The sequence below is a fragment of the Homo sapiens genome, chromosome 5 (genome assembly GCF_000001405.40).
Source record: "Homo sapiens chromosome 5, GRCh38.p14 Primary Assembly".
Classification (NCBI taxonomy): Eukaryota; Metazoa; Chordata; class Mammalia; order Primates; family Hominidae; genus Homo; species Homo sapiens.
Window position 1 is genome coordinate 138,394,237 of NC_000005.10, and position 25,498 is coordinate 138,419,734.

At 43.4% G+C, this 25,498-nt stretch overlaps 1 protein-coding gene across 6 annotated transcripts in view; it reads left to right on the forward strand.

Annotated features, from left to right (window-relative positions):
• The window catches only part of KDM3B (lysine demethylase 3B), an 84,343-nt gene that overhangs the window by 41,552 nt on the left and 17,293 nt on the right, over positions 1-25,498 (forward strand). For all 6 annotated transcript variants that reach the window (XM_047417313.1, NM_016604.4, XM_005272018.5 and 3 more), the window contains 5 exons: positions 3,942-4,156; positions 5,624-5,776; positions 20,896-21,003; positions 23,247-23,374; positions 24,717-24,996. In XM_047417313.1, coding sequence (XP_047273269.1) covers positions 3,942-4,156; positions 5,624-5,776; positions 20,896-21,003; positions 23,247-23,374; positions 24,717-24,996 — 884 coding nt within the window. The remainder of the gene's footprint in view (positions 1-3,941; positions 4,157-5,623; positions 5,777-20,895; positions 21,004-23,246; positions 23,375-24,716; positions 24,997-25,498) is intronic.

Genomic DNA, 25,498 nt, shown 5'->3' on the forward strand with positions numbered 1-25,498 from the left:
GGTGGCACACACCTGTAATTCCAGCTACTCAGGAGGCTGAGGTGGGAGGATCACTTGAGCCCAGGAGGTCAAAGCTGCATTGAGCCTTGATCGTACCACTGCACTCCAGCCTTAGAAGCAAAGCGAGGCTCTCTCTAAAAGAAAAAGAAAAAATAATAAGTGATATGTCAGCTGATAATAACTATGAGAAAAATAAGGAAAGAGGATTGAAGTGTGAGGATGCTAGAGAGGCTACAGTTTTAAACAGGATGATCTGAGAAAGTGAGAGTTGAGGAACAGCCTGCAGGAGGTGAAAGAATACACCACACTGTGACAGGTATTCCAGACAGGTGCAAGCATCCCAAAGCTGGAGTATTTCTGGTGTGTCCATAAAGTTAGGTTGCTAAAATAGAATAAACAAAGAAGGAAAAGGAGTTGAGGTGAATGAGTTAATGATGGGTCCACATTTTAAAGGGCTATTCCAAAGGCCTTGGTTTTTACTCTGATGAGAAGTCATTGGAGGCCTTGAGCTGATGCGTGACACTGATTAATGTTTTAAAAGGCCACTTTGGCCACCTTTTTGAGAATAAGCTATGTAGAGGCAAGGGCAGAAGCAGAGAAGTTAGGAGGCTGTTGGAATTATCCAAGTGAGAAATGATGGGGCTTGGACCACGGAGATAGTGATGGACATGATGAGAAGTAGTTGAAGATAGAGTAGACATAATTTTCTGATGAATTAGATGTGAAGTATGAAAGAAAGGACTTAAGGATGATTCTATGTCTGGTTCTAGATATGTCTTTTGGCCTAAAAACAGGAAGAATGAGATTGCCATTTACTGATAAAGAGATTCTTTAGGGAAAAGCAGGTTTGGGGAGGAAAAGGGGGAGTTTTAACTTGGCCGTGTTAAATTTGAGATGCTTGTTAGATTTTCAAAGGAAAATACTGAGAAGGCAGCTGGGGATACAGCTCTAGAGTTAAGGGAAGGGGTCCTACCTGGAGATATAAATTTGGATATCACCAGGTATTTAAAGCTGTCAGTCTAAGTGAGATCAGAGCATAGATAAAGAAGAATAGCAGTCCAGGGACCAAACTCTGGTACTCTCCAATGTTTAGAGGTGAGAAAGATGGAAGCAACTAGTAAAGGAGACTGAGAAAGAACAGCTAGTGAAGTAGCAGGAAAACTAGGCAGTGAGGTATCCCAGAAGACAACTAAAGAAAGTATTTCCAGGAAGGAATAATGAACTGTGTCAAATGTTGCTGACTTGAATGGGGGCGGTAGCTCACGCTTGTAATCCCAGGATCTTGGGAGGCTAAGGTTGAAGGATCACTTGAGGCCAGCAGTTTGAGACCACCCTGAACGATGTAGTGAGACCCTGTCTCTACAAAAAATAATAGTAATAATAATAATTTTTTTTTTTGAGACGGAGTCTTGCCCTGTTGCCCAGGCTGGAGTGCAATGGCGTGGTCTTGGCTCACTGCAACCTCCATCTCCTGGGTTCAAGCGATTCTCCTGCCTCAGTCTCCTGAGTAGCTGGGATTATAGGTGCGCGCCACCATGCTCGGCTAATTTTTTGTATTTTTGGTAGAGACAGGGTTTCACCACATTGGCCAGGCTGGTCTTGAACTCCTAACCTGAGGTGATCCGCTTGCCTCAGCCTCCCAAAGTGCAGGGCTTATGGGTGTGAGCCACTGCACCCTGCACAAATCAATTTTTAATAAAAAAGTAAAAATGTTGCTGACAGGTCATGTTACATATGGACTAGAAGTGACTGATTTAGCAAGGTAGAATTACCTTATCAAAATAGTTTTGCTAGATTGGTAGGGGAATTGCCTGATTGTAGGGAAGAAAATAAAAGGGAAAGGAACCTATGGCAATGAGTATAGACAACTCTTCTTTTTTTTTAGATGGAGTCTTGCTGCCCAGGCTGGAGTGCAGTGGCGCAATCTTGGCTCACTGCAATCTCCGCCTCCCGGGTTCACGCCATTCTCCTGCCTCAGCCTCCCGAGTAGCTGGGACTACAGGTGCCCGCCACCACACCCAGCTAATTTTTTATATTTTTAGTAGAGACAGGGTTTCACCGTGTTAGCCAGGATGGTCTTGATCTCCTGACCTCGTGATCCGCCCGCCTCAGCCTCCCAAAGTGCTGGGATTACAGGCGTGAGCCACTGCGCCCGGCCAAGTATAGACAACTCTTTAGAGGAACTTTGCTCAAGCAGATAAATGGAGGGAGGGTATGGCTTGAGAGGATTTTTGTGGTAGAAATTGGAGCAAATTTATGTGCTGGCAGCAGTGATCTGATACAGAAGAAAATAGATGATGTTGAAAAGAGAGGAGAGATTTAGTGGAGAAATGCCTTTGGGTTGGGGAAAAGTGATAGGATGTAGTAGGAGATACTGGCCTTTGCTGGTTCAGAGCAGCGGGAACTCATGGAATACGTGGGCCAAGTTGCAGGGAAGTGTGGTAGTGTCGTGGTGGGAGCTTGTGGAGGTTGTTTTCTGGCTCCTCTTTTCTCAGTGGAATAGAAAACAAGGTCCTCACAGGGGAAGTAATATTGGAGGTATGAATAGAAGGAAGGTATGAAAATAGGCATCTAGAAGAGGGAATGTACCAAGAAACTGTATTGTGACTGTCAGGCAATATTAAGGACTCACTTGATGTAGGTAGACATGAATTTAAAGTGTTAAAAGGCCAGGCACAGTGGCTTATGCCTATAATCCCTACACTTTGGAAGGCCGAGGTGGGCGGATCGCTTAAGCCCAGGTGTTTGAAATTGGCCTGGGCAACATGGCAAGACCCTGTCTCTACAAACAGTTTTAAAAAATGAAAAATTAGGCCAGGCGCAGTGGCTCACGCCTGTAATCCCAGCACTTTGGGAGGCCGAGGCAGGTGGATCACAAGGTCGGGAGATCGAGACCATCCTGGCTTAACATGGTAAAACCCCGTCTCTACTAAAAATACAAAAACAAAATCAGCTGGGCGTGGTGGCAGGCGCCTGTAGTTCCAGCTACTGGGGAGGCTGAGGCGGGAGAATGGCATGAACCCCGGAGGAGGCGTTTGCAGTGAGCCAAGATCGCACCACTGCACTCCATCCTGGGTGGCAGAGCGAGACTCTGTCTCAAAAAAAAACTAAAAAATAAAAAATTATTTGGATGTGGTGGCATGTCCCTGTAGTCCCAGCTACTTGAGAAGCTGAGGTGGCAGGATTGTTTGAGCCCAGGAGGTCAAGGCTGCAGTGAGCTGTGATGGCACCACTGTGCTCCAGCCTGGGTAACAGAACGCAACTTTGTCTCCAAAAAATAAATAAATAAATTGTTACAATGAAAGTGGCTCTGTGTTAGCCGGGAGTGGTGTGGTTCATGCCTGTAATCCCAGCACTTTGGAAGACCGAGGCAGGCGGATCTCTTGAGGTCAGTAGTTCAAGACCAGCCTGGGCAGTAGTTCAAGACCAGCCTGGGCAACATGGCGAAACCCTGTCTCTACTAAAAATACAAAAATTAGCTGGGCATTGTGGCGTGCGCCTATAGTCCCAGCTACTCAAGAGGCTGAGGCAGGAGAATTAATTGAACGCAGGAGGTGGAGGTTGCAGTGAGCCGAGATCATGCCACGGCACTCCAGCCTGGGTGACAGAGCAAGACTCTGTCTTAAAAAAAAAAAAAAAATTGGAAAGTAGGTCTGTGTTTTTATCTGGTCACATTCAGCAGTATGGGTGCAGGTGTAGAACAGGTGAATGGAAAAACTAAGAGGAACTCTGGGACAGCTTTTTAAAGAATCTAGACCTACTAAATGTTATGTTAACAAGCTTTACTATTAGCAGAGAATGCATACTGTTTTGGTCGACTGGTGAAAATTCTTAGTCTGATTCCTGTTGTCTCATTTTACTTCTGTTTAGGTCCCAGGAGTTTAGGTGTGTGTTAGTTTGCGTTGCTCCTGCGATTTACCATGTATTTGATCATGTCTCAGGTTGATCTTCACTCGAAAAGGGGTACTCCGTGTGGAGGGGTTTTTAAGCCCCCAGCAAAGTGACCCTGATGCCATGAACCTGTGGATTCCCTCTTCCTCCCTAGCAGAAGGGATAGATCTAGAGACCTCAAAATACATCCTGGCCAATGTTGGGGACCAGTTCTGCCAGCTCGTAATGTCTGAGAAGGAGGCCATGATGATGGTGGAGCCACACCGTAAGTCACCTTCTCACTTGTCTTCCAGGTGCTCCTAGTGAAAAACTTTTATTTTCTTTCACTTAACGGGAAGATTGGGGACAGTGGCAGATGGCATTTTCTGTGAATGAATTAAGACCGATAAGACTTCTCTTTGTAGCAACCTGTCGTTGAGACCTTAACTATATCCAGCAGACCTCATTCTTTCAGTCTTTGGCAATTAACAAACCAAATACTCCTTCTCTGCTTGCCTTTGTTTTTGTAGCACAGCAGCCATAACATCCATTTAAATTCCCATTTGGGTTTGCCTCACTCTGAATATTTTCAGTTTGCTTTGAACCAATTTGTATTAATAAGCTCTGTGGTTTGTAAATAGATGGTGTGCTACTAGGTGCCATGTTTCATACCTAGAACCCACATTATTCATACATTTCAAATATTTCCATGTCTGTAAGATACTATGCCCTATTTTCCAGACTAAGAAAAATTATACTGTGAAATTATATCCTAAATTTCTTTTTTTTTTTTTTTTTTTGAGACGGAGTCTCGCTCTGTCGCCCAGGCTGGAGTGCAGTGGCACAATCTCGGCTCACTGCAACCTCCACCTCCCAGGTTCACACCATTCTCCTGCCTCACCCTCCTGAGTAGCTGGGACTACAGGCGCCCACCACCAAGCCCGGCTAATTTTTTGTGTTTTTAGTAGGGACAGCGTTTCGCCGTGTTAGCCAGGATGGTCTCGATCTCCTGACCTCGTGATCTGCCCGCCTCAGCCTTCCAAAGTGCTGGGGTTACATGTGTGAGCCACCGCGCCCGGCCCTGTATCCTAAATTTCAAGGGAGGAATCCTCTTATTTTTAAACTCCCCCAGTTAAAAATTTTTCAATTCCGGCTGGGCACAGTGGCTCATGCCTGTAATCCCAGCACTTTGGGAGGCAGAGGCAGGCAGATCACGAGGTCAGGAGTTCAAGACCAGCCTGGCCAATATGGTGAAACCCCATCTCTACTAAAAATACAAAAATTAGCTGGGCTTGGTGGCGGGTGCCTGTAATCCCAGCTACTCGGGAGGCTGAGGCAGGTGAATGGTATGAACCCGGGAGGCGGAGCTTGCAGTGAGCCAAGATCGCGCCACTGCACTCCAGCCTGGATGACAAAGCGAGACCCCATCTCAAAAAAATATATATATATATTTTTTTACAATTCCTTAAGTGACAACATGTGGCAGTAATTCCTTTTTGACAATAGGTTATATCCTGGTATTACCATGAGCCCTTGAAATACCATTATATTATAAATAAGTTATATAGTCTCTTTGTTCAGAAATACTAGAAATTATTGTATTTTGTTTCTCCTACAATTATAGAAACACAGACTTTATGAATCTTTGAGTTTTATTGCTGAACAAAATAGCTTGAGTAGGGATCAGTGGGTCTGGGGTCTTTTGTTATTGGTCAGGATGATCAATGCCAATTCTGTTTCCTCTTTCCACCAGAGAAAGTGGCATGGAAGCGAGCTGTGCGTGGTGTACGGGAGATGTGTGATGTGTGTGAAACAACTCTCTTCAACATCCACTGGGTTTGTCGCAAATGTGGATTTGGGGTCTGCCTTGACTGTTACCGGCTCAGGAAAAGCCGGCCACGCAGTGGTAAGTAAACATTGTCCTGTGTAGCTCGAAAGGTAACGTGGAGGTATGTCCAAGATGTTGTGGGATTTGAAAATTGAGGCAGGAATGGGCTTATGCCTCTCTTTAGCTGCTTGGCTTCATTCAACTTTGTTGTATTTTAAGACCTTAAAATGGCAAATATTTAGCCTAGGAAGGCTGAAACAAGACAAGAAGGATTATTCTTAATTTTTCCTTGGTTTTTTTTTTGTTTTTGTTTTTTTTAAGGCAGATTCTCGCTCTGTTGCCCAGGTTGGAGCGCAGCGGCACAATCATGGCTTACTGCACCCTTGACCTAGGCTCAAGTGATCCTCCTCGACCTCTCAGAGTGCTGGGAATCATAGGCATGAGCCACCGTACCTGTGTTTTTTTTTAAATAACATCTTTATTGAGATGTAATTCACATGCCATAAAATTCACCCCTTTTAATGTGTACAAGGCTTAGCGTGGTGGCTCATGCCTGTAATTCCAGGACTTTGAGAGGAAGATAGGAGGATCACTTGAGGCCGGGGGTTTGAGACCAGTCTGGGTAACACAGCAAGACCCCATCTCTACAAAATAAAATAAAATTAGCTAGCTAGATATGGTGGCACATGCTTGTAGTCACAGCTACTCAGGAGGCTGAGGCAGGAGGATCACCTGAGCTCAGAGTTTGAGGTTATAGTGAGCTATGATCATACCACTGCACTCCAGCCTGGACAACAGAGTGAGACCTGTCTAAAAATCAATTAAAGTAAATCTACAAGGTTGTACAGCCATTATCTAATTCCATTTTCATCACCCCACACCCCACCTGACAACCCATACCTGTTATCAGTCACTGCCGATTCCTCCTCAGCCCTTGGCATCCACTAGTCCACTTTTTTCTCTTTTTTTTTTTTGAGACTAATGCTAGTTTAACAAGTAGTCTGCTTTTTGTCTCTGTAGATTTGCCTATTCTGGACATGTCATAAAAATAGAATCAGCCAGGCGCCATGGCTCACGCCTGTAATCCCAGCACTTTGGGAGGCCAAGGCGGGCAGATCACAAGGTCAGGAGTTCGAGACCAGCCTGGCCAATATGGTGAAACCCTGTCTCTACTAAAAATACAAAAATTAGCCGGGCATGGTGGCGCATACCTGTAATCCCAGCTACTCAAGAGGCTGAGGCAGGAGAATCGCTTGAACCCGGGAGACGGAGGTTGCAGTGAGCTGAGATCACGCCACTGTACTCCAACCTGGGCAACAGAGCAAGACTTCATCTCAAAAAAAAAAAAAAAACCAAAACATACACTATTGTGTCTAGTCTAGTGCATAGCTAAGTAACTTGCTAAACAGTTTGATTCTTCCAAGGCTTGCTTTACACTTTGTTATGCCTTCTGTGACTAGCCCTTTTCACTTAGTGTAATGTTTTAAAGTTTCATCTGTGTTTTAGCACATGTGAACCATTCATTCCTTTGCATTGCCAAATAATACTCCTTTTTTGGATATACTTCATTTTGTTTATTCACCAGTTGATGGACTTTTGGGTTGCCTCCGCATTTGGCTATTATGAATAGTGCTACTGTGAACATTTGTGTACAGTTTTTTTGTGTGAACGTATGGTTGCATTTCTCTTGAGTATATATATACATGTAGGAGTGGAATTGGCTAGGGCATATGACAATTCTACTTTTAACCTTTTGAGGAACTGCCAGACTATATTCTAAAGTAGCTGCACTATGTTACAATCCCACCAGTAATGTATGAGGGAATTTTCCACATTCTTGCCAACACTTGTCCTTTGTCTTTTTTGTTATAGCCATCACAGTGGCTGTGACGTAGTATCTGATTGTGTCGTTTTGATTTGCTTTCCCCTGGTGACTAACGATGTTGAGTATCTTTCCATGTGCTTTTTTTTAACTTTTCTTTTTTCTTTCTTTTTTTTTTGTTGTTGTTTTTAAGAAAGGGTCTCGCTTTGTCACTCAGGCTGGAGTGCAGTGGCATCATCATGGCTCATTGCAGCCTCAACCGCCTGGGCCCAAGCAGTTCTCCCACCTAAGCCTCCTGCATAGCTGGGACTGCAGGCATGTGCTACCGTGCCCAGCTAATTTTTTTTGGTAGAGATGGAGTCTCGCTACATTGCCCAGTCTGGTTGCTAATTCCCAGGCTCAAGTGATCCTCCTGCCTTGGCCTCCCAAACTGCTGGAATTATAGGTGTGAATCACTGTGCCCAGCCATTTGTTTATTTTCTTAGGAAAAATGTCTATTCAAATTATTTGCTGCCTTTGGTTCTTCCTTTATCTTATTACGTGCCAGAAACCCTCCTTGCCCCTTGACTTTTTCATTCTTCCCTCTTCGGAGGTATAATATAACCATTGTACAGTGGTTTAGAGTTTAGGCTACTGTGATGTGGCACCTATTTCTACCTCTTATTGTACCAACTATTGTATCTTGGGCTAGTTACTTAATCCTGCAGAGCCTCAGTTTTCTTGTCTGTAAAACAAAGATATCAGTACTTCCCTCACAACTTTGTTGTTTTGAATGAGATGTTGTATGTAACATGGTTAGAATAGGACCTGACACCCACCAGGTATTCCATAAATGTTAGCTGCTAGAGTATTCTGCACCTGCCCATGAAAGATTAACTGTCACAGGAATTGCCCTCCTGCCATAAACAATGAGAAAACTAGATAAAATATATGAAACCACAGTTTTTGACATTGAACAACAGGCAACATGGGACTGTTATCTCTAAGAGAAGGGAAAAAACCAAGGTGATCCCTACAGTTGCCCTGGCTTACTGCTTAGGCACAGTTTCTAGGCTACAGCAAGGGAAAGAGAACCAAAACTGAAACTGGCAACCTTACTGACTAGAGACAGAGATGACAGTCTGAGAAGAGTAAGGCAAAGTGCTGAAAAGGCTGGAACTCTCTACAGAGACAGCCCCTTGGTTTTTTGTATATATAGTAATCTGTGCATGAATGAGATGAAGTTCCTCAAAGCCCAAGATGGAACCTTCAGAAAGCAATTGACTGAATAATTCACAAAATTCATGATTTGTATTCCCACCAGCCAGTGTGAAGAGTAGTGGGACTAATTTAGTCTCAGAATAAAAACTATTCTGGAGCTTCCATAACAAAGTATAAAGCAAGCCTTGGAAGAAGCAAACTGATTAGCAAGTTACATAATTGTGCACCACACTAACACCAAATACCCTTTAAAGGAATATTTAAAGGAGCACCCTTCAAACAAAACCCACTACCCAGAAAAGTCACAACCTTGCATTTAATCAGTAATTATCGAGTGTGCAAAAATACCAACTTACATGACCAGTAAGCTGAGGAGGGATAATCAATCAATAGGAAAAAACCCCAGAATGACGGTGATAATAGAATAGAAAAGAACCAGCCTGGCACAGTGGCTCATGCCTGTAATCTCAGCACTTTGGGAGGCCCAGGCAGGTGGACTGCCTGAGGTCAGGAGTTTGAGACCAGCCTGGCCAACATGTTGAAACCCCGTCTGCATGAAAAATAGAAAAAATTAGCCAGGCATGGTGGCGGGTGCCTGTAATCCCAGCTACTCGGGAAGCTGAGGCAGGAGAATCACTTGAACCCGGGAGGCAGAGCTTGCAGTGAGCCAAGATCGTGCCATTGCACTCCAGCCTGGGCAACAAGAGCGAAACTCTGTCTCAAAAAAAAAAAAAAAGAATAGAAAAGAACCTTAAGCCAGGTATGATGGCTCACACCTGCAATCCCAGCACTTTGGGAGGCTGAGGCAGGAGGATCACTTAAGCCGAGGAGTTCAATTCCAGCCTAGGCAATATAGCAAGACCCCATCTCAACCAAAAAAAAAAAAAAGAACTTTAATGTAGCTACTATACATCTTATAAATATGATTAAGGATTTAAAGAAATACATGATGTGATGAGGAGAGAAAAAGAAGATATATAAAAGCCCAAATGAAAACTTCCAGAGATGAAAAATATCTCAGGTATTTACACCAGATGAGATTAACAGCAGATTAGATAATGTAGAAGAAAAAAAAAAGACTAAACTTGCAGACATTGACAAAAGAAGCTATCTAAAACAAAGCAGAGAAAAATGACCTACATTTATTAATTGAAAAATGCCTTGTAGAGCTGCAGGAAATATCAGGTAGTCTACCAAACATACAAGTAGAGTTTCAGAAAAAGTGGGAGAGCAGAGGCAGAAAAAATATTTAAATAAAACCAAAAAATTTCCAGATTTGGTGAAAATTATGTAAACACAAAATTAACAAACTCCAAACAGTAGAAACATTAAGAAAACCACACCAAAGCACATTTTGTGTAGAGTAACAAAGATAAGAATGACAGGCTGGCCGGGCGCCATGGCTCATGCCTGTAATCCCAGCACTTTGGGAGGCCAAGGTGGGCGGGATCACCTGAGGTCGGGAGTTCGAGACCAACCTGGCCAACATGGTGAAATCCTGTCTCTACTAAAAATACAAAATTAGCCGGGTGTGGTGGCACATGCCTGTGGTCCCAGCTACTTGGGAGGCTGAGGCAGGAGAATCACTTGAACCTGGGAAGCCAAGGTTGTGGTGAGCCGAGGTCATGCCATTGCACTTCAGCCTGGGCAGCAAGAGCAAAACTCCATCTAAAAAAAAAAAAACAAAAGAATGACAGCCAATTTATGAGAAGTCCTGTAGGCCAGAAGACAACAGAAAACAATGGAATGAACTTTTTTGTTTTGTTTTGTTTTTTCTTTTTTTTCTTGAGATGGAGTCTGACTGTCTCCCAGGCTGAAGTGCAGGGGTGTGATCTCTGCTCACTACAACCTCATCTTCCCGAGTTCAAGCTATTCTCCTGCCTCAGCCCCTTCAAGTAGCTGGGATTACAGGCATGTGCCACCATGCCCTGCTAATTTTTGTGGGGTTTTTTATATTTTTAGTAGAGACAGTGTTTCGCCATGTTAATTAATCAGGCTGGTCTCAAACTCCTGACCTCAGGTGATCTGCCCATCTCAGCCTCCCAAAGTGCTGGGATTACAGGCGTGAGCCACCGTGCCCAGCCTACAAATTTTTTTTTTTTTTTGAGACAGAGTGTCGTACTGTCGACCAGGCTGGAGTGCGGTGGTGCGATCTTGGCTCACTGCAACCTCTGTCTCCCAGGTTCAAGTGATTCTCCTGCCTCAGCCTCCCAAGTAGCTGGGATTACAGGTTCCTGCCACCACGCCTGGCTAATTTTTGTACTTTTAGTAGAGATGGGGTTTCACTGTGTTGGCAGGCTGGTCTTGAACTCCTGATCTCGTGATCCACCCGCCCCAGCCTCCCAAAGTGCTGGGATTACAGGCATGAGCCACCATGCCCCGCCACAAATATTTTTTAAAAGTAGCCAGGCATGGTGACACATGCCTGTGGTCGCAGCTACTTGGGAGGTTGAGGTGGGAGGATCACTTGAGCTGAGAGGTTGAGGCCGCAGGGAGCCATCATCACTTCACTGCACTCTAGCATAGGCAACAGAGTAAGACTCTGTCTTACAAAAGAAAAAAAAAACGAGTGACCATTCTAGCAGCTTTTCTCAAACCAAGAAAAGCTGATAGAATGCACCACCAGCAGATCCACACGATAATAAAGTTAAAGGTAGTTATTCAGGCAGAAGAAAATGAAATGGAAATCAGAACTTACACAAAGTAATGAAGAACATCCTACATGGTATATATGAGTAAATATAAAAGATCTCTTTTTCTCGTTTATAATCTTTTTAAAAGTTAATTGTTTAAAAGCAAAAATAGTAACAATATATTTTGGGGTTTATACTATATGTAAAATTCAAATATATAATAGCAGCACAGAGGAAAAGAGGGAAAACTGGAAGTATAGTTTTGTAAGGATCTTACACTTTATGTAAAGTGAGATTAATATTTGAAGATAGACTTTGATAAGTTGAAGATTAATACTGAAAATGCTACAGCAACCACTTAAAAACAAAGAAATATAGCTAGTAAGTCCAAAATGGGAAACAAAATCAAATCACAAAAAATATGTAAGTAGTTCAAAAGAAGGCAGGAAAAATGAAACCAAAAAGAAATGGGACTGGCTAGGTTTGGTGGCTCACACTTGCAATCCCAACACTTTGAGAAGTCAAGATGGGGATTACTTGAGGCCAGGAGTTCAAGACCAGCCTGGGCAACATAGCAAGACTCCCATCTCTACAAAAAATTTAAAAATTAGCTGGGCGTGGTGGCACACACCTGTGGTCCCACCTACTCAGAGGCTGATGGGAGAGGATCACCTGAGCCCAGAAGGGTGAGGCTGTAGTGAGCCATGATTGCACCACTGCATTCCAGCCTGGGTGACATAGTGCAACCCTGTCTCAAAAAAAGAAAAGTTAAGGTCAGGCACAGTGGCTCACGCCTGTAATCCCAGCACTTTGGGAGGCTGAGGCAGGTGGATCACCTGAGGTCAGGAGTTCGAGACCAGCCTGGCCAACACGGTGAAACCCTGTCTCTACTAAAAATACAAACAAAATTAGCTGAGCATGGTGGCAGGCACCTGTAGACCTAGCTACTCAGGAGGCTGAGGCAGGAGAATCACTTAGGTGGAGGTTGCAGTGAGCTGAGGTCGCGACATTGCACTCTAGCCTAGGCAACAAGAGTGAAACTCTGTCTCAATAAAAAAAAAGAAAAGTTAAACAATTAACTTTTTAAAAGAGTATAAATGAGAAAAAGATATTTTATATGTGCTAATCTTCTGCCTACATGATGAAAAAGAGAAGGTACAGTTTACCAATGAGAGAATGAGAGATGTAGGCACAGTGGCGTGTGCCTATACTCTCATCTATTTGAGAATCTTAGGTGGGAGGATCACTTGAATCCAGGAGTTTGAGACCAGCAGGGGAACATAGTGAGACCCTATCTCTTTAATAATAAAAAAAAAGAATGTGAGGACCTCAATGCAGATCTTTTAGACATTAAAAGGATAAGTAAAATTATGAACATTATTATGCCAATAATTTTTTTTTTTTTTTTTTTTTTGAGACAGCGTCTATCTCTGTCGCCCGGGCTGGAGTGCAGTGGCACGATCTCAGCCCACTGCAACCTCCATCTCCCGGGTTCAAGCGATTCTCCTGCCCCAGCCTCCCAAGTGGCTGGGATTATAGGTGTGTGCCACCAAACCTAGCTAATTTCTGTATTTTTAGTAGAGACGGGGTTTTGGCATGTTGGTCAGGCAGGTTTCGAACTCCTGACCTCAGGTGACCTGCCTGCCTCAGCCTCCCAAAGTGCTGGGATTACAGGTGTGAGCCACCACGCCCAGCCTATGCCAATAACTTTTACAGCTTAGATATAATGGACAAATTCCATGAAAAACACAAACCATCAAAATTCCCTCGAGAACAAATAGAGAACCTAAATAACTTTACATTAAGAACTTGGTCTTTTCCTCTTGGAAGCCCCCTCTCTCTCACTAGAGAGAGAGCTGATTTCCTTTCTTTATCTTTCTCTCTTTTGCCTGTTAAACCTCCACTCCTAAATTCCTCATGTGTGTCCGTGTCCAAAATTTTCCTGGCACGAGATGATGAACCTCAGGTATTTACCCCAGACAACGTAGCTGCTTCATACTGGGGACCTCGTCCCAGATATCAAGGTACAGCATTCATCAAAACGCAACATCTGGTGGAGGCAAACCAGTGTTACAACCCATCGGAATGGCTAACAGCAATCAAACTCCAAATGGTGCTGCAGACAGAACCACACATGGACGTGCCTTTCTTCCGAGGACTCTTAGATCGGCCCCAGGAGGAGCCCTACCTGCTGTTCCCCACACAACACCTCTTTTCAGCAGGAAGTAGCCAGAAAGAGTCCTCGTCCAACAGCCCCTAATAGTAGTTAGGGTTACCACTCCAGAGCGGGGAATGATACAGGTGTTAAGAAGAAATTACTTAGGTGGATACTGAGGGTACAGAAGTCCTTGGTAAGGTTTTCCATTTAATGAAAAGCAGCCCCAAATTATTTTCTTTCTAACAAAGAGCAGCCTGTAAAATTCAGTTGCAGACATAGATGTTAGCAGTTATGAAATCATGTTCAAGATGGGAGCTTCATCTTCCCTTCGCTTTGTCAACCATATGTACAGTAAGGAGCAGACAAGATGGCACCAGCCAAGGGGAAAGTTCATTTGCATAATAACATTAGGGTGGGGTAGCCAGCCTTCCCCTAAAGCTATGTAAACATCATACCTGATTGAACCAATCTGTAATCCCTATGTAAATCAGACGCCGCCGCCTCAAGCCTGAGTAAAATCCAGCACATCTGCCACCAACTGGTCTGGGAGTCCCCTCTCTCACGAGAGAGAGCTGTTTTACTTTCTCTTTCTTTCTTTTTTTTTTCTTTTTTTCCTATTAAACCTTTGCTCCTACACTCCTTAAAAAAAAAAAAAAGAAAGAAATTGAATTTGTAGTTTCAAAAATCTTTCAACAAAGAAAACTTAAGGTCTAGATGGTGGCCTTACTAGTAAATTATAGCAAACATTTAAGGAGGAAATAATACCAATTATACACACAGTCTTTCAGAAAATGGGAGGAAGCACTTACCAGCTCGTTTTATGAAGCCAGCATTATACTAATATCAAAACCAAATAAAGACATGAGAAGCATAGAAAGTTACAGCCCCAGTATCCATCATGAACATAGATGTAAAAATATTCTATAAAACTTAAGCAAGTTTAAGTCAAGAGATATATAAAAAGAATAATACATCATGAACAAATGGGGTTCACTTGAAAATCAGTGCAGTCCACTATATTAGTAGACTAAAAAATAACCACATGATCTCAAGATATAGCAGAAAAATCATTTGTCTAAATTATCAAAAACCTAGGCTATGCATTCTCATCAGGTGAAAATTGGCTCTTGCTTGGGAGGGAGAATCTAAAATGTTAACAATTTTTTGTGCCCTTTCAGGGGGCCATAATACATAAACAGATATACAGTATATCTGGTATTAAAATTTCTTGGGTGGAGAGCACAATGACCACAAAACAAAGTCTGAAAAGGCTCTTTGGAGAATGATAATGAAATAATGTTTGAAAAACACAACTATGTATAAGTAGAATATCATATAATATGAAAGATTGACTTCTTCCTCTTAGGTTCAGGAACAAAGCAAGGATGTCAGCTTTTGTAACTTCTATTCAGTATTTTACTGGAGTTAGTGGTCAGTATGAAGAAATAAAAGGGAAAAAGGGGAAAAGGAAAACAAAAGAAGAGACATACAGATTGGAAAGAAGTAAAATGATTTTTATTCTCAGACAACATGATCATCTATGTAGAAATCCAGAGATCTACAAAAAAGCTAATATTATAATGAGTTTTTTCAATATTACATGATACAAAGTCAACATACAAAGATCAATTATTTTTCTGTATGATAGCAATGAACAATTAGAAATTGAAATGTAATGGGAGGTTGAAGCAGGAGAATTCCTTGAACCTGGGAGGCAGAAGCTTCAGTGAGCCGAGCATCATAAAATCATGAAGTGCTTAGGGACAAATTTAGCCAATACCTACAAGACACATACACTGAAGACTACAACATATTACTGAGAGAAATTAAAGAATACCTAAATAAATGAAGAGATATACCATATTTGTGGATCCAAAGATTGAATATGGGCTGCGTGTGGTGGCTCATGTCTGTAATCCTAGCACTTTGGGAAACTGAAGTGGGAGAATCACTTGAGGCCAGGAGTTTGAGACCAGCCTGGGCAACACAGCAAGATCCCATCTCTACAAAAAAATTGTTAAAAGATAAAGAAAAAATAACAATAATGAAAAATAGGCCGAGCGCCGTGGCTAACTCACGCCTGTAATCCTAGCGCTTCGGGAGGCCGAGGCAGGCAGATCACCTGAGGTTGGGAGTTCGAGACCAGCCTGACCAACATGGAGAAACCCTGTCTCTACTAAAAATACAAAATTAGCCAGGCATGGTGGCACATGCCTGTAATCCCAGCTTCTCGGGAGGCTGAGGCAGGAGAATTGCTTGAACCTGGGAGGCAGAGGTTGCAGTGAGCTGAGATCGTGCCATTGCACTCTAGCCTGGGCAATGAGCGAAACTCCTTCTTAAAAGAAAAAAAGAAAAGAAAAGAAAAGAAAAATAGAGGGTTGAATACTAAGACGTCACTTCTTCTAAATTGATATGTAATTAAATGCAATTCCAAATCAAAGTCTCAGTAGGCCATTTTGTAGAAATTGACAAGGCGGTTCTGAAATGTATGTGAAATACAGTGGATCTAGAATACCCAAAACAATTTTGAAATAGAGTCAAGTTGAAGGACTTGTACTACATTTCAAGAATTAATATTAAAGCTACAGTAATTAAGACACTGTGGTAAGGGAACAGAAAACAATCTAGAAGTAAACCCACACATACATAATCAATTACGACAAAGGTGCCAAGGTAGTTCAGTGGGGGAAAGGATAACCCTTTCAACAAATGGTACTGGAACAATTGTATATCCATATTCCAAAAAAAAAAGAGGAACCTCTGGAGGGACCAGCCCCACAGGGTCAGTGGGTCTCTCCCCGTGTGCGGCGACAAGAGAGTGTAGAAATAAAGACACAAGACAGAGATAGAAGAAAAGACAGCTGGGCCCGGGGGACCACTACCACCAATGCACGGAGACCAGTAGTGGCCCCGAATGTCTGGCTGTGCTGTTATTTATTGGATACAAAGCAAAAGGGGCAGGGTAAAGAGTGTGAGTCATCTCCAATGATAGGTAAGGTCACGTGGGTCACATGTCCACTGGACAGGGGGCCCTTCCCTGCCTGGCAGCCGAGGCAGAGAGAGAGAGGAGACAAAGAGAAAGACAGCTTACGCCATTATTTCTGCATATCAGAGACTTTTAGTACTTTCACTAATTTTCTACTGCTATCTAGAAGGCAGAGCCAGGTGTACAGGATGGAACATGAAGGCGGACTAGGAGTGTGACCACTGAAGCACAGCATCACAGGGAGACGGTTAGGCCTCCGGATAACTGCGGGCAAGCCTGACTGATGTCAGGCCCTCCACAAGAGGTGGAGGAGCAGAGTCTTCTCTAAACTCCCCCAGGGAAAAGGAGACTCCCTTTCCTGGTCTGCTAAGTAGCGGGTGTTGTTCCTTGACACTTTTCGCTACTGCTAGACCACGGTCCACCTGGCAACGGGCGTCTTCCCAAATGCTGGCGTCACCGCTAGACCAAGGAGCCCTCTGGTGGCCCTGTCCGGGCATAACAGAAGGCTCACACTCTTGTCTTCTAGTCATACCTCACTATGTCCCCTCAGCTCCTATCTCTGTATGGCCTGGTTTTTCCTAGGTTATGATTATAGAGCGAGGATTATTATAATATTGGGATAAAGAATAATTACTACCAACTAATGATTAATGATATTCATATATAATCATATCTAAGATCTATATCTGGTATAACTATTCTTGTTTTATATTTATTATACTGGAACAGCTCGTGTCCTTGGTCTCTTGCCTCGGCGCCTGGGTGGCTTGCCGCCCACAAACCTCTGTCTTTACCTCCCACCATATACAAAATACTAACTCTAAGTGGACCATAGGCCTAAACATAAAAGCTAAAACTAAAACTTCTAGAAAGAAATAAAATATTTGTATCCTTGCACTAAAGAAATATTTCTTAGATAGAACACAATGCAAATGAAAAATATAAAAGTTTATTTTTTATTCTTTTAATTTTTTTTTTTTTTCTGAGACAAAGTCTCGTCCTGTCACCCAGGCTGGAGTGCAGTGGTGCAATCTTAGCTCACTGCAGCTTCCACCTCCCAGGATCAAGCGATCCTCCTGCTTCAGCCTCCCGAGCAGCCAGGATTACATGTGCCCGCCACCACCCCCAGCCAATTTTTTTGTATTTTTAGTAGAGAAAGGATTTCACCATTTCACCATGTTGGCCAGGCTGGTCTCGAACTCCTGATCTCAGGTGACCCACCTGCCTCAACCTCCCAAAGTGCTGGGATTACAGGCACATGCCATTGTGTCCGGCCTAATATAAAAGTTTAAAACTTTACCTTTTCAGAAGACACGTAAAAGCTGGGCACGGTGGCTCATGCCTGTAATCCCAGCACTTTGGGAGGCTGAGGCAGGTGGATCACCTGAGGTCAGGAGTTCGAGACCAGCCTGGCCAACATGTTGAAACCCTGTCTCTACTAAAAATACAAAAATTAGCTGGGCGTGGTGGCGGGCACCTGTAATCCCAGCTGCTTGGGAGGCTGAGGCAGGAGGATCGCTTGAACCCAGGAAGCGGAGGTTGCAGTGAGCCGAAATTGCACCACTGCACTCCAGCCTGGGCAAAAGAGTGAGACCCCGTCTCCAAAAAAAAAAGACATGTTTAAGAAAATGAAAATAGCCCAGGCACAGTGGCTTATAACCTGTAATCCCAACAGTTACGGAGGCCAAGGCAGTGGGATTGCTTGAGCCCAGGAGTTCAAGACCAGCCTAGGCAACACGGAGACCTCATCTCTACAAAAAAAATTTAAAAATTAGCGAGACGTGGTGGCTTTCACCTGTGGTCCCAGCTACTCAGGAGGCTGAGGTGGGAGAATTATTTAACCCTGGGAGGTTGAGGCTGCAGTGAGCCACGATCGTGCCATTACACTCCAGCCTGGGTGACAGAGTGAGACCCTGTCTCCAAAAAAAGAGAAAATGAAAAGCTGCTGTGCACAGTGGTGTAACACCTATAATCCCAGCTACCTGGGAGGCTGAGACAGAAGGATCACTAGAGTCCAGCAGGAGGTTGACACCAGCCTGGGCAAACAAGCCCATTTTTTTGTTATTGTTGTTCTGTTTTGGTTTGGTTTTGTAGAAATGGGGTCTCACTGTGTTGCCCATCCTGGTCTTTAACTTTTACGCTCAAGCGATTCTTCCACATTGGCCTCCCAAAGTGCTACAGGTGTGAGCTACCATGCCAGCCCAAGCTAGTTTTAAAAAGGTTTGAACAGATACGTCACCAAAAAATATAGTCGATGGCAGGTAAGTACATGGGAAAAATTGTAATTAATTTGGGAAATACAAATTAAAACCATAATGAGAAATTATTATGTCCACTAGAATGGCTACAATTCTTAAAACTGACAGTATTGGCCAGGCATGTTGGCTCATACCTGTAATCCCAGCAGTTTGGGAGGCCGACGCGGGTGGATCACAAGGTCAGAAGATTGAGACCATCCTAGCTAACATTGAACCCCTGTCTCTATGAAAAACACAAAAAATTAGTTGGGCATAGTGGCACGCACTTGTAGTCTCAGCTACTCGGGAGGCGGAGGCAGGAGAATTGCTTGAACCGGGGAGGCAGAGGTTGCAGTGAGCCGAGATCACACCACTGCACTCCAGCCTGGGCGACAAAGCGAGACTCCATCTCAAAAAAAAAAAAAGAAAACCGGACAGTATCAAGTATTATCAAGGATGTAGAAGTAGACCTCTTAAATATTGCTGGTAGGAATGCAGATTGGTACCATCACTTTGGAAAGCAAGAAGGTCATTTCTTACAAAGTTATAAAGCTAAAATTAACTATATGACCTGGCATCGCACTGCTAGGTATTTACAAGAGAAATAAAAACATTTCCACAGAAAGACCTATACATGAATGTTTATAGCTGCTTTATTTATTTTTTTGTTTTTTTGTTTTTGAGACAGGGTCTCTTTCTGTTGCCCAGGCTGGAGTGCAGTGGAGCGATCTCTGCTCACTGCAGCCTCCGCCTCCCAGGCTCAAACAATCCTCCTACCTCAGCCACCCAAGTAACTGGGACCACAAGCATACATCACCATGCTTGGCTAATTTTTAATTTTTTTACCATGTTGCCCAGGCTGGTCTCAAGCTCCTGGGCTCAAGTTCCTGAGCCCACCTCAGCCTCCCAAAGTGTTGGTATTACAGGTGTAAGCCACTGCACCCAGCCGTGTAGCAGCTTTATTTATAATAGCCAAAAATTGGAAACAGTCCAAATGTTCACCAGCTGATGAATAGATAAACAAGTTATGATACATTGCTGCCATGGAATACTACTCAGCTATACAAAGGAATGAATTACTAATACACACAACAATATAGATGACTCAAAAGCATTATGCCAAGTGAAAGAAACCCAACACAAAGACTGCATCCTACATGCTTCCATTTTATATGACATTTTTGAAAGGCAAAACTTATTATTATTTTTTTTTGAGATGGAGTCTCGCTCTGTCGCCCAGGCTGGAGTGCAGTGGCGTGGTCTCAGCTCACTGCAAGCTCCGCCTCCTGGGTTCACGCCATTCTCCTGCCTCAGCCTCCGGAGTAGCTGGGACCACAGACAACCGCCACCACACCTGGCTAATTTTTTGTATTTTTAGTAGAGACAGGGTTTCACCGTATTAGCCAGGATGGTCTCGATCTCCTGACGTCATGATCCGCCCGCCTCGGCCTCCCAAAGTGCTGGGATTACAGGCTTGAGCCACTGCGCCCAGCCAATAGCAAAACTTTAGTATTATAAAGTTGATCACTGATGGCCAGGGCTTGAGGGAAGAGAATTGACTACAAAGAGCCTGAGAGAACTTTTGGAGATGTAATAGAAAGGTTCTATGTCATGATTGTGGTAGTTGTTCATTCAGTTTCTCTAAACTCACTGAAGTAAACACTTTAAATTGCTGGATTTATTCTTTATAAATTATACCTTAGGTTGGGCACAGTGACTCATACCTGTAATCCCAGCACTTTGGGAAGCCAAGGCAGGCCCAGGAACTTGAGCCCAGGAGTTGGAGACCAGCCTGGGCAACATGGCGAAACTCCATCTCTACAAAAAAATACAAACATTAGTTGGGGGTGATGGTGCACTCCTGTAGTTCCAGCTACTTTGCAGGCTAGGGTGGGAGGATGGCTTGAGCCAGAGAGGCGGAGGTTGCGGTGAGCCATGATCAAGCCACTAGACTCCAGCATGGATGATAGAGCCAAACCTTGTCTCAAAAATAAATAAATAAATAAAATCTCAGTAAAGCAGGGGCTTTTTGTTTTTTTAAGTTAGCTGTTATCTCCTTCAGCCATGAGAAAATTGGCCTTTGGGGTTCTGAAACTCCATTCACTGAGAAGGATCCATTTTTGTGACCCTTATAAAATAAGTGAAATCATTTCTATTTCAGAGACAGAAGAGATGGGTGATGAAGAAGTTTTCTCCTGGTTGAAGTGTGCAAAGGGACAGTCCCACGAACCAGAGAATCTCATGCCCACACAAATTATTCCTGGCACAGGTAAGGAAATTCCTTTTTTAGATTTGGTGGAAGAAATGTTTTTAGTTGAGATAGCCATACACCATAAAATTTTTTGAAATGATTTAGCCTCATTTTTTCTTTTAAGCATCATCAGATTTCTCTGAGAATTTGGATCTTTATTATTATTATCATTATTATTATTGTTATTGAAGAGACCCTTCTGTATTATTGAAGAGACACTTCTGTATTATTATTGAAGAGACTGTCTGCTCTGTCACCCAGGCTGGAGTGCAGTGGTGTGGTCATAGCTTACTGCAGCCTTGAACTCCTGACCTCCAGTGATCCTCCCACCTCGGCCTGCCAAGTAGCTAGGACTACAGGCATGCACCACCACACCTGGCTTATTATTTAATTTAAATTTTTTTTTTTTTCAGAGACGGAGTCCCAATATGTTGCACAGGCTGGTCTTGAACTCCTGGCCTCAAATGACCCTCCCACCTCGGCCTCCCAAAGTACTGGGAGTATAACTGTGAGCCACCGTGCTGAGCCAAATTTGGATCTTTAGATATGTGTTAGTGTGCACGTGGCCACTGCACACTCTGCTCCCCATTTCTGATCAGAGGACCTGGTCTTGTTTCCAGATATCATTTCCCATTCCTGTGGTTGGCTGGACCAGAATGAAAAAGCCAGTGCCTAGGCTTTCAGAAAGACTTCTGGTTTTAGGCTTGTAAAACAGCTAAAATGGTCAGGTGTGGTAGCTCATGCCTGTAATCCCAGCACTTTGGGAGGCCAAGATTGGAGGATCAGTTGAAGCCAGGAGTTCAAAACCAGACTGGTCAACATAGCAAGACCCCATCTCATATAATTAAAAAATAAAATAAATCCAGCTGAAGATAATAAGATATCTTGAATCCATGAGGAAGACAGCTTGCTCAGCATTAGGAATGAATGGTTATGTTTGTGTCACAATCCCAGTTTACTTCAGTGATTCTTCCAGAAGTTCTGTATGCCTACCTTCTGTACTTCCATTAACATACATCCATTGAAGATGATGACTCTGCCAAACTACTGCCTATATTATCCTCCACTTAAGAAAGCTTTGCCACAGGCCAGGCATGGTGGCTCACACCTGTAATCCCAGCACTTTGGGAGGTTGAGGCGGGTGAATCACTTGAGGTCAGGAGTTCGAGACCAGCCTGGCCAACATGGTGAAACCCCACCTCTACTAAAAATATAAAGTTAGCCAGGCATGGTGGTAAGCGCCTGTAATCCCAACTACTAGGGAGGCTGAGGCAGGAGAATTGCTTGAACCTAGGAGGCAGAGGTTGCAGTGAGCCAAGATCATGCCACTGCACTACAGCCTAGGCGATACGGTGAGACTCTGTCTCAAAAAAAAAAAAAAAAAAAAAACATAACAAAAAACCAAAGAAAACTTTGCTGGAGCATCCCCTGGATCCCTTATACCCCACTGCTTCTAAGCCAAAGGGTTTCCTGAGTGCAGTGGTAGGATGCCTGCTCCCTGCAGCTCTTAGTATAAATATTTAGCCATATAAAGTTTACATTGATCTGTTAGTTTTTACCTTTTTTTTAAGGTATAACTTACAGTAAAGTATACAATTCCAAATGTTTACACTCTTTGGGACGGAGTCTCACCCTGTTGCCCAGGCTGGAGTACAGTGGCACAATCTCAGCTCACTGCAACCTCTACCTCCTAGAATCAAGCGATTCTCGTGCCTCAGCCTCCCAAGTAGCTAGAATTACAGGCACGCACCATCATGCCCAGCTAATTTTTGTATTTTTAGTAGAGATGGGGTTTCACCATGTTGGCCAGGTTGGCCTCAAACTCCTGACCTCAAAGCAATTCTTCCGCCTTGGCCTCCCACGTGCTGGGATTAGAGGCGTGAGCCACCACACCTGGCCAATATTTATACTCTTGAACACTAGAGAATCTACCCCTAGAGTTTCTCCTGGAGGATACCGTGTTAATGTTTACTAGAAGAGGGAAAGGGGTGTAGCTTAGTGCTTAAAAGTAACAGAACTTTAGGGGTAGATATACCTGGGCTAAAGTCTTAGTGCTCCCGTTTACCAGCTTTATGTACTTGAGCAAATGGCCTAACTTCTTCTCTCAGCCTCAGTTTGATCATCAAAAATTGAAGTAAAAGCAGCTACGTTATTGAAATGTGGTAAGGATTGAGGGAGATAATGTAAAGAACACTCTTAGCACAATATGTGGCATATATGAGTATTCTGGTGTTATTTTTATTGTTACATTTTTTTCCCAGCTCTTTACAATATTGGAGACATGGTACATGCTGCCCGGGGCAAGTGGGGAATTAAAGCAAACTGCCCTTGTATCAGTCGACAGAACAAATCTGTATTGAGACCTGCCGTCACCAATGGGATGTCACAGGTAAACTGGTGTGTGTGGGTATAACTAAGTGAAGCCTAAATTTTTTTGTACCAGGAAATGCCCCCTTTTCAACTCTGTTATGCCAGGCTACTGTAGGATTCCTGAGGAATCAGGAGATGGAGAAGCCTTTCTAGAGAGAGCTTAAATAACTTTACTCAAAGGATTTTAATTACCCCTGATTGGTACAGTTTCTCTTCATCTTTAAACCAGTTCATGGTTGACTGATAGCACAAAGAGATTCTTAGCATCTTGTCAAGATACATACCTCAGGGTCTTTGTATGGGTAAAGAATATAGAAAAGGTTGCTAAGAATACTGCTGGTCTTCTTGAGTCTTATCTGAGAAGATACATGGTCCCTATCACTGGATTCATCTCAGGTGCAGAAGACAGAAATATGAAGATTGGCTCACTGAGTTGGGTTCAGAGGCAGTGGTTTTCACATTGCTTTGTCAGTTTTGGTTTTGGTTTTTTTTTTTTTTTTTTTTTTCAGACAGAGTCTTGCTCTGTTGCCCATACTGGAGTGCAGTGGCATGATCTCGGCTCACTGCAACCTCTGCCTCCCAGGTTCAAGTGATTCTCATGCCTCAGCCTCCCAAGTTTCTGGGACTACAGGCATGCGCCACCACACCTGGGTAATTTTTTTATTTGTAGTAGAGACAGGGTTTCACCATGTTGCTCAGGCTGGTCTCAAACTCCTGACATCAAGTGATCCACCCACCTTGGACTCCCAAGATTCTGAGATTAGAGGCATGAGCCACCGCACCTGGCCTGGTTTTCTCTTCAGACACGCACAACCAACTGCTTACATTCCATGGCCTTTCTGGCAACACTGCTACAACACATCGTTGATGATAAGAGGCACAGGGATTAATGCTGAGGGTTCTTGAGATATATTTTCAGTAGAGTTGACTATATAGAGTATGTAAATAGATAAAGCAAATTATTTAGAAAAATCAGTAAGAGTAATAAACATTTATTTAGCATTTATCTGTGTCAGAACTATGCTAAGCCCTTTGCATATGCTATTTTATGTAATCCTAAGAACAGCACTACGAGGTCATTTAAATTACCAATTCACCATTGCAGAAATTGTGTCAGGCATGCTAACTATTTTAGATTACAAACTTCAAGCCTTGTTCACTGATCTTTCCACAGAAGCTAGCCTGGTTTCTGGCATGTTGTAGGACTCAATAAATATATGTTGAATTAAATAATGTATGAAATGCCAGTTTACATGACAGATTATTCTTCCCAGACCTATTTAGTATGTGAAGCCATTACTAGTTGTATTTTTTTCTACCCAAGCACAGCACTCTAATTATGTTGGCCTTCTGCATTTTAGCTTCCTAGCATAAACCCTAGTGCCTCTTCTGGAAACGAAACTACCTTCTCTGGTGGAGGAGGACCGGCACCAGTAACAACTCCAGAGCCGGACCATGTTCCCAAAGCCGACAGCACTGACATCAGATCTGAAGAGCCTCTGAAAACAGACAGTTCGGCATCAAATAGCAATAGTGAACTGAAAGCCATCAGGCCTCCTTGCCCTGACACGGCCCCACCCTCCTCCGCCCTGCACTGGTTGGCAGATTTAGCAACTCAGAAGGCTAAAGAAGAAACAAAAGGTGAGATGCACACAAACCTCTGCTCTGCCTATGGTAGAAATCATGAGTTTTTTCCAGGATTCTTTGAACTCACACATTACCATCCACATTTATGAAACATGCTACTTACTTTCTCTGGCTAATCACATGAGGGACTGCCGGGGCCTGGCGTGGTGGCTCACGCGTGTAATCCCAGCACTTTGGGAGGCAAGGCGGGCAGATCGCGAGGTCAGGAGATCAAGACCATCCTGGCTAACATGGTGAAACCCCGTCTCTACTAAAAATACAAAAAAATTAGCTGGGCGAGGTGGCGGGTGCCTGTAGTCCCAGCTACTTGGGAGGCTGAGGCAGGAGAATGGCATGAACCTGGGGGGCACAGCCTGCAGTGAGCCAAGATCATGCCACTGCACTCCAGCCTGGGTAACAGCAAGACTCTGTCTCAAAAAAAAAAAAAAAAATATATATATATATATATATACATATATATATACACACACACATATATATACACACACATACACAC